General features: G+C 39.5%; 1 protein-coding gene across 7 annotated transcripts in view; it reads left to right on the forward strand.

The window, feature by feature from the left end:
- The window catches only part of R3HDM1 (R3H domain containing 1), a 193786-nt gene that overhangs the window by 144260 nt on the left and 29408 nt on the right, over positions 1-20118 (forward strand). For all 7 annotated transcript variants that reach the window (NM_001378107.1, NM_001354200.2, NM_015361.4 and 4 more), the window contains one exon: positions 4430-4581. In NM_001378107.1, the coding sequence (NP_001365036.1) occupies positions 4430-4581 (152 nt within the window). The remainder of the gene's footprint in view (positions 1-4429; positions 4582-20118) is intronic.

Raw genomic sequence — 20118 nt, forward strand, 5'->3', positions numbered from 1 at the left:
TTGGCAAGTTAATATTGTCTAGCATTGTCTTATGTTTCCAGCAATATAGGTAGATGAGCAAATGTCTTATTCTATTCCTCAGCTCTTTAGAAAGTCCTCATTGCTGGGAGAGAGGAATAGGAGGGAAAATAGAGGTTAGTGGTAGATATTTGAAATAGTGAGATACAGTATAGACCATGAATCCGTAGTTGTAGAATAGGGAAGTATGTGCAGTTTCCTGTGCTGTGACTGATTTTTTTCCTTCCTCTCCATCCCAAAAAGCGATGATATGTCTCATATTTTAAATTGTTGTAGATATTAGGCCAGGCACAGTGGCTCACACCTGTAATGTCAGCATTTCAAGAGGCCTAGGCAGGCAGATTACTTGAGATCAAGAGTTCCAGGTCAGCCTGGCCAACATTGTGAAACCCTGTTTCTACTAAAAACACAAAAAATAGCTAGGCAAGGTGGCGGGGCCTATAATTCCAGCTACTCGGGAAGCTGAGGCAGGAGAATTGCTTAAACCCAGGAAGTGGAAGTTGCAGTGAGTCACCACTGCACTCCAGCCTGGGCAACAGGCAGACTCCATCTCAAAAATAAAAACAAAATGTTACAGATTTTAATTTATAGTTCTAAAGCAGAAATACCTATTATTTGATGAATAAGCACGTGTCTTCAATATAATATGACACATTTTTCAAAAATTTGTTTTACCTTTATATTTATGGAGTAACTTGCAAGAGGGTTTATTTTATTAGCCTCATTGTTTTTCATAGCTGAGTCTGATTTTAAGAACTCCAGGCCAGGGCCAGGTGCAGTGGCTCGTGCCTGTAATCCTAACACTTTGAGAGGCCAAGGTGGGTGGATCACTTGAGGTCAAGAGTTCGAGACCATCCTGGCCAACATAGTGAAACCCCATTTCTTTGAAAAATACAAAAATTAGCCAGGCATGTTGGAAGGCACCTGTAATGTCAGCTACTCAGAAGGCTGAGGCAGGAGAATCACTTGAACCCGGGAGGCGAAGGTTGCAGTGAGCTGAGATTACGCCACTGCATTCCGGGCTAGGTGACAAAGAGAGACTCAGTCACAAAAAAAGAGAGAACTCCAAAGACCACTTTCATTCATCTCAACAAGGAGAGAATAGCCTAGTTGGGAAGATAGGGAATAGCCTAGTTGGGAAGATAAAATACACGTATTTTGTGTATTTTATCTGAACACATGTAAACAAATTGGTGATAGTGTACAGACTAGTAACTGAGAGGATCATGAAATACAGCAATGAACAGGTTAAGGACTTGATTTGAAGCCTTCTGGGAAGTTAGAAACCTTTAGCTCTTCAAAGAAAATGATGGGCGTAAATTGGTTAAGATGACATTCTGAGAATGAAGAAGGATATAAGCAAAGGTGCAAGCATATTCCATATAATTTCAGAAAATTGAAATTAAAGTGTGAAATGTGAGGTTGTCAAATGTTGTTGAGCACCAAGTGTATGTCCACTTTTGAGAACCCTTTACCATAGAACACATCTACAAAAGAAAGAAAAGATACTTCATGAAAACTGGGCTTTCCATCTTCATTTTCTCTCACATCCCCCATGCTTCTGACCCCTTCTCCTCCATCCTTGAGCCTAGGCACATGAGCCTGCCCTTCGTCTGTTTCCCCATAGTTAAGCATTAAACAGGATTGACACCAAGCCTGAAGCCTTCCTTTCTCAAAGACTCTGGTTCTACTATCTAATCCAATACAGAGTTCAGCATGTAAGATCTGCCCTTAATCTTTGGGGGCTTACATCTAGTAAGAGAAATGTCATTTTTAAACAAATTACAGCCTAATTAGTATAGTTTTTTTTTAATTAGCTGGATATTGAAAATATTCCAGAGCTAAGGTAGTGGTCATAATTTTTACACCATACATTTTTACATTTTAACATTATTTTCTCATTGTATTTAATGTAATTCTCACATTGGCTGAATATTGTAGGAAGTATTGCTCTGGCCAGCAATCAATAATAGTCATCTGCTTTAAAGTGTGGCTCCTACTACATTTGATAAACAAGCTAGGTAGTGATAAACTGTTATCTAAAAAATAAGCCAGAAAAGTCATCTGTCCTACACCTCCTGAGTCAGAGGGCATGGGTTTGAATTCTGACTTTCCCTCCAGTGTATTCTATGCCTGTACACTCTCTAGTAGTGGTCGGTCGCTTGCTCTCTCTCGCTCGCTCTCTCTCCCCCTCCCTCCCTCCTTCCTTCTCTTTGTTTTTGAGACAGAGTCTTGCTCTGTCACCCAAGCCGGAGTGCAGTGGTGTGATCTTGGCTCACTACAACCTCTGCATCCCAGGCTCAAGTGATTCTCATGCTTCAGCCTCCCTAGTAGCTGGGATTACAGGCGCATGCCACCACGCCTGGCTAATTTTTGTATTTTTAGTAGAGACGGTGTTTCACCATGTTGGCCAGGCTGGCTGGAACTCCTGACCTCAAGTGATCTACCCTCCTTGGCCTCCCAAAGTGCTGGGATTACAGGCATGAGCCACTGCACCCAGTCAGTCATTACCTTTTAAATCATAGAGCCAGGTATAGAGAACAGTGAAGTGATTCTAGAACTGAGTTTCTGGAGCCACAGGGTTTGAATTCTGACTTTCCTACTTACTAATCTAAGGTCTTATAGCTAGTAAGTGGGAAAGTCAGAATTCAAATTCCTGCCCTGTATTTACCCATCTATAAAATAGATGATAAAAGTACCTTCAGGCCTGGCGCAGTGGCTCATGCCTGTAACCCCAGCACTGTAGGAGGCCAAGGTAGGTGGATCACCTGAGGTCAGAAGTTTGAGACCAGCCTGGCCAACATGGTGAAACCCCATCTCTCCTGAAAAATACCTTCTTAGGTTGTTCAGAAGCCTTAATGAGATAATACACATAAAGCACTTAGAACAGAACTTAAAACATGGCAATAAGTACCCAATAATGTTAACCCTCCCTATCATTACTATTATTAACGTCATCATCATCATCAGTGGTTATAGTGGTTATACTGGCTTGCTTTTTTTTTTTTTTTTTTTTGGAGACAGAGTCTCACTCTGTCACCCAGGCTAGAGTGCAGTGGCTCATTCTCAACTCACTGCAACCTCCACCTTCTGGTTCAAGCAATTCTTGTGCCTCAGCCTCCTGAGTAACTGGGACTACAGGCACGCGCCACTACTCCCGGCTAATTTCTGTATTTTAGCAGAGACGGGGTTTCACCATGTTGTCCAGGCTGGTCTCGAACTCCAGAGCTCAGGCAATCTGCCCACCTCAGCCTCCCAAAGTGCTGGGATTATAGGTGTGAGCCACTGTGCCCAGCCCGGCTTTCTTTTTTTTTTTTTTTTTTTTTTTTTTTTTAAATAAAGATCCTTCAGGCCATTGAATATACATTGGCTTTATTTAACAAAATCACTGTAATCCAACTCTAATATTGAGGTACATTTGTAAATTAAGAACCCTTTATGCCTGTGTTGTTTCTATCTTAGAAACTGTAGAGTGGTAGTACAGAATTGTGTTCGTGTGATTTCATTTAGATGATATAGAAAACAGAACTGAAAGATACACTGTTTACTGAATGCCTACTATAACTAGATACTTTAGTTGTGCTATCTCATAATGGAAATAATACCTCCTTTGTAATGGAGGTGGTGTTTCCATTTCTTCTGATAAGAAGCTAAGGAGCCTCAGAATAGTCACTTGCCCAATATCACTTAGATAGATGGCTGATATCACATGTAGGTATTTTAAGCTCCAAAGCTCTCACTTTTTATGACCCACTGCGTCTCACTGCCATCCTGCCTGATTTTTACTTAGTTCTACCTGAGGTAAACTGTGTTACTCTTTCTATATCAAATGGCCATCCTTATGTGGAAAGTTTCTTTTTCATAATTTAACCTTTTCATAATTTAATGCATCAGCCTACAGTACATACATTTACAAATGCTAGCCAGAAGCAATAGCTGACATAGAAATAAAGTGGTAGTGCTGTGGCTAACAGGAAAGCCTGTTGGCAGTGTTAGCTTATTTCTGACTGCTCATGCTTTAAAAGTTTATGGTGGCTGCTGGGTATGGTGGCTCACTCCTGTAATCCCAGCACTTTGGGAAGCCAAGGTGGGCGGATCACTTGAGGTCAGGAGTTTGAGATCAGCCTGACCAACATGGTGAAACCCCATCTCTACTAAAAATACAAAAATTAGCCAGGCATGGTAGCGCATGCCTGTAGTCCCAGCTACTCAGGAGGCTGAGGCAGGAGAATTGCTTCAACCCAGGAGGCAGGGGTTGCAGTGAGCCAAGATTGCACCACTACACTCCAGCCTGGGCAACAGAGCAAGAATTCATCTCGAAAAAAATAAAGTTTATGGAGGTTGAAAACATAAACATTTACAAGGCCTTGAAAAAAACCTTTTTCTCTTGAAATTGTCTTTCAAATTTTAGGTTTCACTGCCTCAAGGTTCTCAAGGAATTCCCCATCAGACTTATCAACAGCCTGTTATGTTCCCTAATCAGTCTAATCAAGGATCTATGCCCACAACAGGAATGCCTGTTTACTATAGTGTCATTCCACCTGGTCAACAAAACAATTTAAGGTGAGTATGACTGAGTAACCTAATCTTCCAGCTTCTCATTGTTTACCAGGATTATGGTCTGTTGCTAGTTTTAAAGTTGACTAAGGGGCATTACTTGAGAACATTCTCTAATGTAGAATAGAAAAAAACTATAATACAGTATACTTTTTAACATATTTCTTTCGGCTAGGTACGGTGGCTCACGCCTATAATCCCAGCACTTTGGGAGGCCAAGGCTGGTGGATCACCTGAGGTCAGGCATTCAAAACCAGCCTGGCCAACATGGTGAAACCCCGTCTCTACTAATAATACAGAAGTTAGCTGGGCAAGGTGGCGTACGCCTGTGATCGCAACTGCTCGGGAGGCTGAGGCAGCAGAATCTTTTGAACCCGGGAGGCAGAGGTTGTAGTGAACCAAGATTGCGCCGTTGCACTCCAGCCTGGGCAACAAGAGTGAACTTCTGTCTCCAAAAAAATATATATGTATATTTCTTTCAGTAAAATCAGTACAAGGAAAGCAGTCCATATAAAAGCTAAAGGCAAGTCAGATCTCTCTTGTGCCTAAAAATTAGGCCAATCTTCTGTTACTCACACAAATGGAGTAACAGTTGGAGTGTAATATTTAAGGTTTTTATAGGGGTCTGGAAAAATTGTATTTCCTGTGTATAACTTTAGCAGTGAAATATCTTGCTGGAATATTTCAGGCTTTGGGAAGCTCATTTTTCATCAGTAAGGGAGGGAAGGCATGTAAGAGAAGTAAATGATAGTAGTTCTACATTAAAGCAAGTCATGAAGTATTCCATCAACAGAAATGTCTCTGACAAGCCATGTGTTGAAAATACTAATCTTTCATTGAATTGGGTCCCTTTAGTTCATTGTTCAGAATGTATTACCAAACCATTCATTTATTCTCATGGCATCCCTGTGTTACCAAGCAAGTCCATTCTGCCTGCGTATAGCAAGCCAATCACTGTGACAACGGGTTTTGCAAAAGAGAAAATATTTTATTCACAAGGCTGCTTGTGAAAGGAGATGGGAAAACAAATCTCAAATCCGCCTCTGAAAATAGGGCTTGTGGGTACTTAATTTTAACATTATTTTCTCATTGTATTTAATGTAATTCTCACATTGGCTGAATGATTGTAGGAAGTATTTATCTGGCCAGCAATCAATAATAGTCATCTGCTTTAAAGTATTTAAAGTAGGGTGGTCTAAAGCGTGAGAAAATGTGATTGATGGGTGGGAAAGTTGATTGGCAGGTTGGAAAAATGAGGTAATTGGGGTTTCTGCACAAGCATAATCAAGCTACATGGTTCTTCATAGGACGTGTGTGCAGAAAATGGCGTTAGCATGATCTGAAGATGGAGTAGTTTTAGGCCCTCTGACGCCAAAAGGTCACTCTCTGGGCACCTGTGCAGGCCTAGTTAAAGGGTTCATGATCTCAACCAGCTTGGACTGGACATGAGCTGCCCCCTGGATCCTGAAAAACAGCTTTAAATACCTGTTATATAGTTACCCACAGTCAGAAATGTTATCTATAAGGAAAACAGTGGGAGTTTAGTTATATACTTCTTGGCCACATGACTTGCTAGTGGGAGTTTTAAGATTAGCTAATCCCAGCCCCTTTGATGCAAAACTGCTACAAAATGAAAATAGAAATATGTACTTGGTTAAATTTCGCATTTGTTGTGTGAGTTTAAATTTTATAAATAAGGAAAAAATACTCCGAATCTGAGTTTTTTACCCTGATAAATCTAAGTTTGGGATCTAGAATGCCAGTTCAGTTTCCAAACTGTCAGTTAGAGGCAGAAATCTGTGCTAAAGTAGGGTGAAATGAGGAGTGAGAAAATTGATGATTTATCTACTTTTTGAACCAAAGTTTAATTTTTTATTTACCAGAGAATATTGCCAAAGTCATCATTTCTATGTGGGGCAGAGGCTGAGAGATGGGTATTAAGTTACCTTTGTAGGCCTGCCTACTGGGAAGAGGGGCTTTCATAAGGGAAGGATATCAAGCCTATAAGAACCTATGTAAGATGGCTTAGGCTTTCACAATTTTTCACGTTTGTTGTACTTGTCAGTCCCTTGAAACAAAAAAGATTTTGTGTGCTTGACTTGTGAGAGAGCTTGCCATAAGAGTGTGGATACAGGTGAGAGAGCATAATTATGTTCCTGCCCCTATAGTGAGCCTTATTTTAAGCATAAGAGCAGAATCCAAAAGCTGTCAAGCGAGTGCTGATGACTACACTTTGGAAAGATCCTTGGTTTTAGTCCCTGGGCATGCTTCACAAAGAAAATAAAAAATTTTTAAGAGCTAGCTTTGGCCTGAGGGATAGCCTGCAGCACAGAAATTAAAAGATAGATGAGATTCTCCAACAACCTCCAATGTGAATCTTGATTAAAAGTTTTTGGTGTTGGGCATGGTGGCTCACGCCTGTAATCCCAGCACTTTGGGAAGCTGAGGCGGGTGGATCACTTGAGGTCAGGAGTTCAAGACCAGCCTGGCCAACATGGTGAAACCTCAACTCTACTAAAAATACAAAAATTAGCCAGGCGTGGTGGCGAGCACCTGTAATCCCAGCTACTCGGGAGGCTGAGGCAGGATAATTGCTTGAACCTGGGAGGCAGAGGTTGCAGTGAGCTCAGATTGCACCACAGCACTTCAGCCTGGGCAACAGAGGGAGACTCTGCCTCAAAAAAATAAAATAAAAAAAGTCTTTGGAATTACCCGCAGCTTGGACCCAAATGAGGCAGATAAACTTGAAATAAGGTAGATGTAAGCTGACAGTAGTGATTGGTCACCATGTGACAAACTAGCATTGATCTGTTCCAAGTATAGAGTACCAATGTGAGAAATTGAATGAGTTGTACGTGAAGCAGGGAATGTGTATTCTGTCAGACTCATCTTGGTACATTTTGGACTAGTTACTTGGTAGGAAGTCAAGTCATGTACAGAATTAAAGTTCTCTGACTGGCTGCAGTGGCTCACGCCTGTAATCCCAGCACTTTGGGAGGCCAAGGCAGGCAGATCACTTGAGGTCAGGAGTTTGAGACCAGCCTAGCCAACATGTTGAAACCCTGTCTCCACTAAAAATACAAAAATTAGCCGGGCGCGGTGGTGGGTGCCTGTAATCCCAGCTACTCGGGAGGCTGAGGCAGGAGAATCGCTTGAACCTGGGAGGTTGGGGTTGTAGTGAGCCGAGATCATGCCACTGCACTCCAGCCTGGGCAGCAGAGTAAGAACCTATCTCAAAAAAAAAAAAAAAAAAATTCATTAAAGATCTCTTTGGGTGAAAAAAAATTCATAATTAACTGATTAATTTTTTAAAACATAGCAGCATTCTTTACAGAAAATGTCATTTCTGCTTCTGGGCAATATTTAGTAGACAAATCACCATAATATTTCAAGTTTACTTGGAACCATCACTTAAGAAGTCAACTATTGGTAATTTTTATTAATCAGATAGTTGAATTACCATCTAAGGGCTAATGAATAGAGGCAATTCAGAAATCTAGACTTAGTGGCTTATATAAATTATATTTTATCCTACATATTTCAGTATATTTACATGAAAAGCAGGGGTTGATCTAATTACTGAAGCACCAGCTGGGCATGGTGGCCAGGTAACAGAGTGATACTCTGTCTCATAAATACATACATACATACATACATACATACATACATACATACATACATACTCAAGCACCTGGAACAGGGCCTAGCATAGAGTCAGAGCTTGGTAAATCTATACTGAATGAACATATTTCTTTTGTTTTGTTTTGTTTTGTTTTTGTTTTTTGTTGTTGAGACAGAGTCTCACTCTGTCGCCCAGGCTGGAGTGCAGTGGCACGAACTCAGCTCACTGCAAGCTTCACCTCCCAGGTTCACGCCATTCTCCTGTCTCAGCCTCCCGAGTAGCTGGGACTATAGGCGCCCGCCACTACGCCCGGCTAATTTTTGTATTTTTAGTAGAGATGAGGTTTCACCATGTTAGCCAGGATGGTCTCAATCTCCTGACCTCGTGATCCGCCCACCGTGGCCTCCCAAAGTGCTGGGATTACAGGCGTGAGCCACCGCTCCCAGCCGAACATATTTCTTAAATGTCAAAGGCCAGCTTGCACATGTGTATATGTACATAGACATCATTAACTGTTGGACTCAATTTTATTTTGTTTCTATAACCTCTCTATGCTTTTTAAATTTTTCATCAATTTTTAAAATTACAAAACAAATAATGCTGTTAATATAAGTGAAGCAATACAGAGATGTGTAAAGGGAAAGGTAATCATCATGCCCTGCTCCACCCCCCATCCCCAGGTAACCAGCATTCACAGGCTAGGGTGTGTTCTGTCACATTGGCCTCCTGGCTACACAAACAATACACGCATAAATACTCATATGAGGAATTGGGTGGTGAGTTTTAGTGAAATACACATTCTCTTGCGTTTTTTTTTTCTTTTCCATTTTATTCTTTGTTTTTGAGGTGTCTCACTCTGTTACCCAGGCTGGAGGGCAGTGGCATGATCATGGCTTACTGCAACCTTCTCCTACCAGGCTCAAGCAATCCTTCCACTTCAGCCTCCTAAGTAGCTGGGACCACAGGCACGCACCACCACACTCAGCTAATTGTTTATATTTTTGGTAGAGATGGGGTCTCACTATGTTGCCCAAGCTGGTCTCGAACTCCAAGGCTCAAGCAGTCCTCTCACCTCTACCCCCAAAGTGCTAGGGTAACAAGCATGAGCAACTGCTCCCAGCCTGCATTTTTTTCATAATAATGTATCATGAACATCAGATTAGTAAATACTAGTATAAAACATCCTGTTTTGTTTTTCTAATTTCTTGACAAACATAATTTTATATAAGTAATATTATGTCATCCTGGCAGTTTTTTATTGTCCTAACCTTCTCTCTCCCTACCCTACCACTGGACCATTTCCCACACACACACATGCTAGTTAACCCGTGTTTCTCTCCTGGTTTCTGTCCTTCCTTCCTCACTTTCCTTCTTGTGCTTATTCATATACTAACACAGATATGGTACGGCAACATGAACAAAATAGCACACATACACACACTCAAATTGAGTTTATAAATAGTTTTGAATATAAAATGTCTACAACTTGGTTTTGGTTTCTTGTAGGAGCATATCATGTCTGACATGTGATGGGAGAATCCATTCACATTTAATATTACAACTGATATACCGAACTTTTTTCCACCAGCCTGTATTTGTTTGTGTATTTCACCACACTGTACTTGTAACTGATGACTAATTGGTTAGTCTTCTGCTGTTTTCTCAGATATTTATCTGAGAAATTTCTCTAAATACATGCTATATTCATTGAGACTCTTCATCATGGAATCCCACTGATCTGATACCAGGGAATATGCTGGTCCAATAAGCTAATTTTTCAGATAACTAAAACTCATGCCTTTAAATATTAGTTATTAGGTGGCATGATATGGTTAGAAAAATGGGCTTTGGAATCATAAAAACCTGTCTTCAAGCCAGTGTGACCTTGGACAAGTTATTTATTTGTACTTTTGTTTTCTCATTTGTAAGACAGAAATACCTTCCAGGACTGGTGGAAGGAATTACATGTCTAGAACTTTGTATATGGAAACTGCAAATTTGCCAGCTGTATATCTGATATCCAAAATATTAAGGAAATCCTGTAATTCAGAAAAAAAAAGGGTTAAAGAGTTGAATAGAAATTTATCCAGAGAAGACATACAAATGGCAAACAGGCCAGAGAAAGGATGCTTGATATCACTAATCATTAGAGGAATGCAAATCACAACCGTAATGAGATATCACCTCACACCTGTTAAAATGGCTGTTATCAAAAAAATCAAAAGCTATTAAGTATTGATAAGGATGTGGAAAAAAGGGAACCCTTGTAACACTGTTGTTGGGAATGTAAAATGGTGTAGCTGCTATAGAAAACAGTACAGAAGTTCCTAAAAAAAATAAAAATAGAACTATCATTTGATCCAGCAATTCCAAATACTTCTAGATATTTATGCAGAAGAATTGAAATCAGTATCTCGAAGAGAGATTTACATCTCCATATTCATTGCAGCATTATTCACAATAGCCAAGATGTGGAAACAACCTAAATGTCAATTGGTGGATGAGTGGATAAAGAAAATGTGGTATGGCTCATTCCTGTGATCCCAACACTTTTTGAGGCCAAGGCATGAGGATGGCTCGAGCCCAGGAGTTTGAGACCAGCCTGAGCAACACAGGGAGACCCCATTTCTACAAAAAATTTAAAAAGTAGCTGGGTATAGTGACAAATACCTGTGAAGCTAGTCTACTCAGGAAACTGAGTTGTGGGAAGATAACTTGAACCTGGGAGGTCAAGGCTATAGTGAGCCATGATTACGCCACTGTATTCCAGCTTAGGCGACAGAGCCAGACCCTCTCTGAAAGAAAAAAAGGTTATATATGTACTGTAATGGAACATTATTTAGCCTTTAAAGATGGAAATCCTGCCATATGTAACAATGTTGATGAACCTTGAGGACATTATGTTGAGTAAAATAAGCCAGTCACAGGACAAATACTGCCTTATTCCACAGTATGACCTCTAAAATAGTCAAACTTGGCTGGGCGCAGTGGCTCATACCTGTAATCCCAGCACTTTGGGAGGCCAAGGCAGGTGGATCACCTGAGGTCAGGAGTGTACACCAGCCTGGCCAACATGGTGAAACTTCATCTCTACTGAAAATACAAAAAACTAGCCGGGCATGGTGGTGCCGGTAGTCTCAGCTACTCAGGAGGCTGAGGCACAAGAAGCACTTGAACCTGGGAGGCAGAGGTTGCAGTGAGCCGAGATAGTGCCACTGCATTCTAGCCTAGGCAACAGGGCAAAATTCTGTCTCAAAAATACAGAAAATAAAATAGTCAAACTTGTAGAAGCAGAGAGTAGAATGGTCATTGCCAGGGGCTGCAGGGAGGGGGAAGTGGAGAGTTACTCTTCAGTGGATATAACATTTCTTTTATGCAAGATGAATGAACTCTGGAAATCTGCTATACTACATTTTGCCTATAGTCATATTGTGTTGTACACTTGAAATTTTATTAAAAGGGTAGCTCTCGTGTTTAAAACAAACAAAAAAAGAAAAACAGTTATGGTGTCTTTGAAGGATTTGTGACATCCATTTTAATAGTTCACATGTCTTTAGCACTTAACCTGTTTCTGAGCTCTGTTCCAGATCATTGTAATGAGTGAATACTTCTCCAAAAAGCAAGTATGAAAGCTTGAAGAAATCATAGAGAATCATTAGTTTATCCTTAAAGCAACAAATATTTTTATTTTGGCTCTTACTCCCAATTAGACTAAATGTAGTAAGATGTGAATTTTTTTAGTGTGACTTTTTTCCTGATTAATATGTTTTCTGTGTAACATGAATCTACGTCATTGTTCTTTTCTGGCTCGTCAAACCAATACCTTTTCAATGACACTACCTTTTTGGGTTTAAGAAAAGTTATCTTTTTGTTTACCTCACTGAATTTGAAGTCTACATTTTTACAAGAACACTCAGCTGAGAAATGAAAAATAAATCACATTAATTTTCAGAGTTACATAAAGAAAAATATGTGTAGCAGATTCTCAGTATTTGTAGACTTTGTATTTGCAAATCTGCCTATTTGCTGAAATTATTTGTAACCCCTAAATTGATACTTATTGTACTTTCTTTTTCATTCGTGGACACGTTCAGTGTGGCAAAAAAGTTTGAATCATCAGGCAAGCACATTCCCATCTGAGGTCAAACAAGGCACATGCTGCCTCCCTGTTTCAGTTCTTCTATTATAAACAATTGTCCTTTTCAGTCTATTTAGTGCCACGTTGTTCACACTTTTTGGGTTTTTGTTTGAAATGGCTCCCAAACAATGCTGATTTTCTGTCTTGTGTTACTAAGCACAAGAAAGCTCTGCTGTGTGTTCAAGCATGAGTTGGTACTGGCCATCAGTTCAGTGTTAACGAATCAACAATACAGTACATCCAGAAAAAGAGGAAATTCACAGATGTGTATGTGAGGCCACTCTAGAAAGTCCTAAAATAACATCCGAAATAGATGACAAAGTTATGAAAAAGATGGAAAGGCAGCTGGATTGGTGGATTCATAAGATGATGAATGAGTTTATCTTCCTGTTTTGGGGGATTTTTTTTTTCCTTTCTCTTGGCTTCTCAATATGATAACCAAGTTTTTAAAAAACCATAGTGGACAGCATTGTTGTGAAACTGAAAGCCAAAGAAATTCATGATCATGTTACCCAGGGTCAGGAAAATGGTAAACACTCCTCAAATAGTGTTTTGTTATCAAGAAATACTGCGAAGGGCCAAGGACGGTGGCTCATGGCTGTGATCCCAGCACTTTGGGAGGCCGAGGCGGGTGATCACTTGAGACCAAGAGTTGGGGACCAGCCTGGCCAACATGGTGAAACACCATCTCTACTAAAAATACAAAAATTAGCCAGGTGTGGTGGCGGGCACCTGTAATCCCAGCTACTCAAGAGGCTGAGGTAGGAGAAACACTTGAACCCAGGAGGCAGAGGTTGCTGTGAGCCGAGATGGCACCACTGCGCTCCATCCTGGATGACAGAGCGAGACTCCTTCTCAAAAAGAAATACTGCAGAGTTTTTACATTTCTAGAATCTCATTTGTCTTCACAGTGTCCTTCTAAAAAGGATAAGAATATGTATTTGTTTTTATTTTACATGTAGACACTATGAAATTTCAACCCTATATATCTTCATTTAATTGGTCTGGCCCTGATCTTAAGCCTGAGCAACATTATTTTTTGATGCCCTCCAGGTGATTCTAGTGGGAGCCAAGAATTGAAACCCTCTGGCCTACACTAACCAGCCCTTTAGTCTGGTTTTTATTCATGCCTTCAGCTGTCCACAAGTAGCTATAGCCCAGTAAAACTTTACACATTAGCAGAGAAGTCATGATGTCTATCACTGTTTATTAGTAGATTTTCATCTGAAATCCAGTATCCTGACATAAAACTATAAATTACTACATATCAACAAGTTTATAAATTTCTAGATCTTAGATGGAAAGTGTATCTTAAACTCTAGGTTACAGGGTCTTGATCCATACAGTCTTACTATGTTTTAGATGCTAAATGGACTCTAGTAGCCTTCATTTTATTACAAGATTATAAGGAATAAGATTCCTATAAGAACACAAAGTGAGTCTTTGTTTTGAAAAATGTCTTACTTAGCTTGGGTTGCTTAGCAAAATTGTTTTCTTACAGAGGTTCCTTGTGTAGAAAGGTAGAATTTGAATTATTATGTCTACTTTCAGCTCATCCTTTCAGTTCACTGAGGCAACTTTGTGTTTGGATTGGATTGTGTTGTTACTTATCATTATGAAGATTGAGCACAGCCTGATACAAGTCAACATATACTGTCACTTTAAGCGAGCAAAGTACTAGTCAGGGACACTAATTTTACAACAACTCATGAGATTTTTCTCAGTCCTTAGTGTGGAGAGAAAATTAGTTTGATACCAGCAGCCTTCAAAAGTGGGCAAGTGAGTTGGATATCTTCAAAATGCTCTCATTTTTACCGGTTCTTCTCCTATTTTCCCTTTCATTTTCACTATTTTTATCTTGAAATTCAAAACGATAATACCTTTGTCTTTGATCTATATTCTCAAAGGGGTAGCATACAGACAGGAACTTGAAAAGACTATAGCCTTTTTTTAAGAACCTTTAAAAAATGTTTCACAGAATCTTTATGAAATTATGAAAAAGAAAACCTACTTTTAAGTCTTTTTCCCTTTTTTCTGTCCACAGTCTGTTTTTCCTCATTTTTGTATCCTAGTATTTCTCTAGTGTCCCTTTTGTCCTACTTGTGATACCTCTCTTGTATTCATTTTATTTCTCCTAAGCTTCTAGTTTGACATTTTCAGTTTTTTGTTTGCCTCAGCTATCCTTTGAAATAATTGTTGATAATAAGTCTGTCGATCTGAACTATATCTTTTGGTAAAGTTTTACTTCTCTCGTTATTAAAAATGAAGTTACTAACAGCTTAGAGAAATAAAATGTAATAAATAAAATTTTGATTTTGCAAGATAAGTTCAAGAGATGTGCTGTACAAGACTTTGTCTACAGATAAATATTGTATTATACACTTAAAACTCTGTGAGGATAGATCTTGTGTTAAGTGTTTTTACACCAATAAGAATATGTTTTAAACTGAGCAAACCAATATACCCTACAGCATATCTGCACTGATAACCTATGTATGATTTTGTAGCACTAACAGAATAGATGAAGAAAGATACTGTTGAAGGAATAAAATGTAAAAGAAAAAAAGTTACTTTCACTGCTAAAACATTGCCTTTTCAGAACATTCATTTCTTCTTTAGTGGATATAAAAGAGGTTTTTTTTGTTTGTTTGTTTCTTTTTTTCTTTTTTACCATTTTTGTGGGCATGTGTTTATTAGCAAAATTTATTAGTAAATTGTTTTATTCACCAAAAAATGTTAAAGGAGAAGGGAAGAGGGTGCTTTAGCTATTTCATTTTTGTGAACTCACCAAAATGAGTGATAATGGTAATACTTTGGATTTAAATTATTTAGGTACCTTTAAGGAATAGGAGAGGCAACATTTCATGAAAAAACCTCTTTATCCATAATTGATCACACCGAGTATTTGTGGTGCTTCCTCAGCCTCTCAATGAGTTTCTGTTTTTGAAAAATACTTCTCTTATATCTGTATTTTGTCTATTAAAACAGTCTTTCCTCTATGTACCTTGTTTAGGTCTTTCTGGTTAAACATACATAGTCATTGTAGAAAATTTGAAAATATTTGAAATTTCAAGTGTTTGATGACAAATCAACCACAGCCTTAGCACCCAGAAATAATCACTGATAAATTTTGATGTACCTCACCAAAGTCATTTTTCAGTGTGCATACATATATATGAACTATGTTAGCAATCAAATTTTTTAACATTTTATTTTATACTTTGTAAAAACTCCATTATTAATTTTTCTTTTAGGCTGGGCATGGTGGCTCATGCCTGTAATCCCAGCACTTTGGGAGGCCAAGGTGAGTGGATCGCTTGAGCTCAGGAGTTCAAGACCAGCCTGGGCAACATAGCAAAACCCCATCTCTGCAAAAAATACAAAAATTAGCTGGGCGTGGTAGCTCATACCTGTGGTCACAGCTATTCAGGAGGCTGAGGTGGGATGAGCCCAGGAAGTTGAGGCTGCAGTGAGCTGAGATCAAACCACTTCACTCCAACAGAGAGAACCCCTGTCTCCAAAAAAAAAACAGAAGTAAAGAGATTTTCTTTTTAAATTAAATATATAAGCTGGATTTGGTGGTGGGCCCCTGTAATTCTAGCTACGTGGGAGGCTAAAGCAGGAGAATAGCTTGAACCTGGGAGGCAGAGGCTGCAATGAGTCGAGATTGTGCCACTGCACTCCAGCCTGGGCAACAAAACAAGACTCTGTCTCAAAAATAAATAAATAAAACATATATAAATATCTGGAGTTAAATAGTAAAATTCTACCTCCATTGCCCTTTCTGGAAAGCAGTCACTATACACCAATATAATCACTAGAGTTTTTGTTTGTTTCTTTTTTTTTTATTTTGAGATAGAGTCTCACTCTAGCCCAGGCTGGAGGGCAGTGGTGAGATCTCAGCTCACTGAGCAACCTCTGCCCTCCAGGTTCAAGCAATTCTCCTGCCTCAGACTCCCAAGTAGCTGAGATTACAGGCTGCCGCCACCACACCTGGCTAATTTTTGTGTTTTTAGTGTAGGCGGGGTTCACCATGTTGTCCAGGCAGGTCTCGAACTGAACCTCAAGTGATCCGCCCACCTCAGCCTCCCAAAGTGCTGGGATTACCGGCAAGAGCCACCACGCCCAGCCATTTTTTTTTTTCTAAGGTGAAGATCAGTGTTGTTTTTGTTTGTGTCATGTGGAGTCTTTATGAATCTTTTATTCTGCAATTCGCTTGTCTTATTAAACATTATGCTTGGCCGGGCACAGTGGCTCACGTCTGTAATCCCAGCACTTTGGGAGGCCAAGGCGGGTGGATCACCTGAGGTCAGGAGTTCTAGACCACCCTGGCCAACAGGGCAAAACCCTAAAAAATACAAACATTAGCTGGGCGTGGTGGCACATGCCTGTATTCTCAGCTACTCAGGAGGCTGAAGCAGGAGAATCGCTTGAACCCAGGAGGCAGAGGTTGCAGTGAGCCAAGATCACGCCATTGCACTCCAGCCTGGGCCAAAGAGCAAGACTCGGTCTCAAAAAAAATAAATAAACATTATGCTTAAACTTTTTTCCATAGAGCATCTGAATTTTAGGTTAGGATAGAAAAAAATTAGTTTGAGACTCTTTAAAAAAAAAGGCCAAAAATTAGTCCAGTAGCGGTCTTTGAAGTGAACTTGAAGTGGGAAGAACCCCCAGGCAGAAGGATATCGTATTATGTGCATCAGGTGGTGGCACCCTCAGCTGTGGTAGTGGCAGTAGGAGGGGGATTAATCTGGGGTGCACTTTGAAAGAAGAAACAAATATTTTATGTTAAGTGAGGATTAAGGAAAGATTTGAGATATCTTAATGGGTAATGCCCCACTAGCAGCAATACATGTTGGGATTGAAAATCAGTGTAACTGTTATTTGGGTATCATTTACTTTAACATACCTACTAGATCTAAGGTCGGCAGACTTTTTCTGAAACACGCCAAATAGGAAATATTTGAGGCTTTGTAAGCCAAAATACAGAATTGTGGATTCTATTTAGGTATTTATATAACAAGGGGAAAAATAAGTTTCCATAAATTTTTATTGCTAAAATTCAAAATATAATAATGAGCACAATGGATTTATTTTGGGTGGCAGATAACATTTTACTTAATTGGGGTTCAAAGTTAGTGTTCTTTGTCATCAAGTTGATTTCAGATGTTCATCTGTAAAAACCATTCTTAGCTTGGAGGCAATACAGAAGCAAGCAGTGGTCTGGGTTTTGCCTATAGGCCATAGTTTGCCAACTCCTGTACTAGATGGTTGATAGCCAGCAAAAAAAAAAGACAAAGAGGCAGTGGTCACAAATGAAGACCAACAACTTAGGAAAAAGGAGTGTGGAAGCCAACATACAAGGAGATTTCAAAGATTAATAGTCAGATGTTGTAGGGGGTGAGGAAGGAAGAGAGTTGAAGACCATTAAAGGGAATAAAAAACACTGGCTGTGACCAGAAGAGGTCATTTGTAACCTTGAGATAGTATGTGGTAAAGTAAAAAGGACTCTTAAGAAAAAAATAACAAGTTCAGATGGTTCATGAAGTATTATGGACAAAAGGTCATAGTATTTATTCAAAAAGAGGAAAGATGTAACTACTTTGAAAACTAGAAGAGAAAGAACTAAAGGAGAAAAGAATTCTTAGGCCAGGTGCAGTGACTGACACCTGTAATCCCAGCACTCTGGGAGGCTGAGGCATGTGGATCATCTGAGGTCAGGAGTTCAAGACCAGCCTGGCCAACATAGCAAAACCACATCTCCTAAAAATACAGAATTAGCCGGGCTTGGTGGCACCCGCCTGTGATCCCAGCCACTTGGGAGGCTGAGACAGGAGAATAGCTTGAACCCGGAGGCAGAGGTTGCAGTGAGCCAAGATCACGCCATTGCACTCCAGCCTGGGGAACAAGAGCGAAACTGCCTCAAAAAAAAAAGAAAATAATTAATTTAACATGAGACAAAAAGGAATGATTCTCTAAATCTTCCCTACCTACTTTTGAATTATTCTTCAGTTTAGATTTTTACAGCTTTTATTCCTCAAGTAACTTCTAAACTTTTCCCAATTGTTTTTAAAAATCCACAGTGACTATTTTTACTGCCTAAGGTTTTGAATGGCTATTGCCAAACTTGCTGTTTTAGATATTTCTTGAGGCCACAAGCAACCTATATAACAAGCAGTCCCCTGAGATAGGCCAACCCAGTTTACAAGGTAGAAGAGGTATGTGTTGGAAGTGTCCCTCTAGCATATCCTGTGTATTTTATTTTTTGAATAATTTCCAGGTCTTGGGAGTGTGCTGACTTTGGCATCTTACGTGGTATCAGGGACAATATGAGGGATATTGAAGAAAGGATCTTTAAAACTTGCATCCTCCTGACTTCTGTTTTTAGCCAAAATGGAGTAATATAGACTGGATTTAACTCCTACCTTAACCAAAAAGCCAGAAATTATGTGAAACAGTAGTTTCTAGATATTGGACATGGGACATTGAAGAACAGTAAACCCTGAGAGGGAGAAACAAAAGAAGTGAGTCTTAGGATTGCCCCAGCTTAGTGCCACAAGAATGTTTCCCAGACACAGCTCAGGGAGGGGGAACCCAACCAGAGTCTCTGAGTTAGGAGATGGAGTTGGGACTTAAGGAAGCCAAGGTAGCTAGAGTTTACAGGGCAGAATACTGAAGAGAAGAGAGCTCTAGAGATCTCTGGAGGGACCTCCTTGAGTCTTAGTTGAAGAGATTGGTGCATATGTTTGCAAACACTACTTGAGGCCAGGAAAAGAACCACTCAAAAGGAGCAGACACAAACAATCCCTGGAACTCACCCAAGGACAGTAATCATTTGTAGTCCTACCAGCCACTGGCAAAACTTCATAATACAGGAAGCAACAAGTAGAGGACTTAAAAGGACACTATCTCAATATGGAGGAAAATTGGTCCTAGATTAAAGGCTGCTCTGTTTGGCTCTAAGCTTCCTGTTGCCCGCCCCCCAAAAGCATTTAAAAACAAAAGGCTGCTGTCGTCCTGCCTGAAAAATCATAAAAGCAAAACCCAAAAGAATTAAATTATTTCCAGACAAGTTAACTATGGTCCAGAACAAAGCTCAAAAATACTGTTACAAATTACAAGAGTATCCAACACCCAACAAGGTTAAATTCACAATTTAGTCTTGACTCCAATCAGAAATTACCTGTCTCCAATCAAAAATTACTGAGAATGCAGAGAATCAGGAAACTAAGGCTAATAATGAGGAGAAAAATCACTGAGTTGAAACTGACTGTGAAACAATGCCAGTATAAAAATCAGAGAGGGAAAATGATTAACAAAGCATCATTGCTCTTAAGGGGCTAATTCATGTGTAACAGGCATCCTCAAAAGAGAGAAAAGGGAAAAAAAATATTTGAGTAAGTGATGGTTGAAGTTTTTCAAAATTTGATGAAAATTATAAACCCACAGATCCAACAAGCTCAGCAAATCCAAGCAAAAGAAATGTGAAGAAAACATCTTAAAAAGTTATAGAGAAAATCTTAAAAGCAGCCAGAGGGGGAAAAGAGCCATTGCATACAGAGGAACACAGTTAAGAATGTCAGCCGACTTAGAAGCAATACAAGCCAGAAGACAGTGGAGCAACATCTTTATTTGAAGAAGTGAAAGAAAGAAAACTTGCATTCTATACCTGTAAAAATATTTTTCAGAAACAGAGATTTCAAACACACAAAAGCTGAATTAATTGCCAGCCACCTCGCACTGTGAGAACTGTTAAAGGAAGTTTTTCAGACAGAAGGAAAAT

This window comes from Homo sapiens, chromosome 2 (genome assembly GCF_000001405.40).
Source record: "Homo sapiens chromosome 2, GRCh38.p14 Primary Assembly".
NCBI lineage: Eukaryota > Metazoa > Chordata > Mammalia > Primates > Hominidae > Homo > Homo sapiens.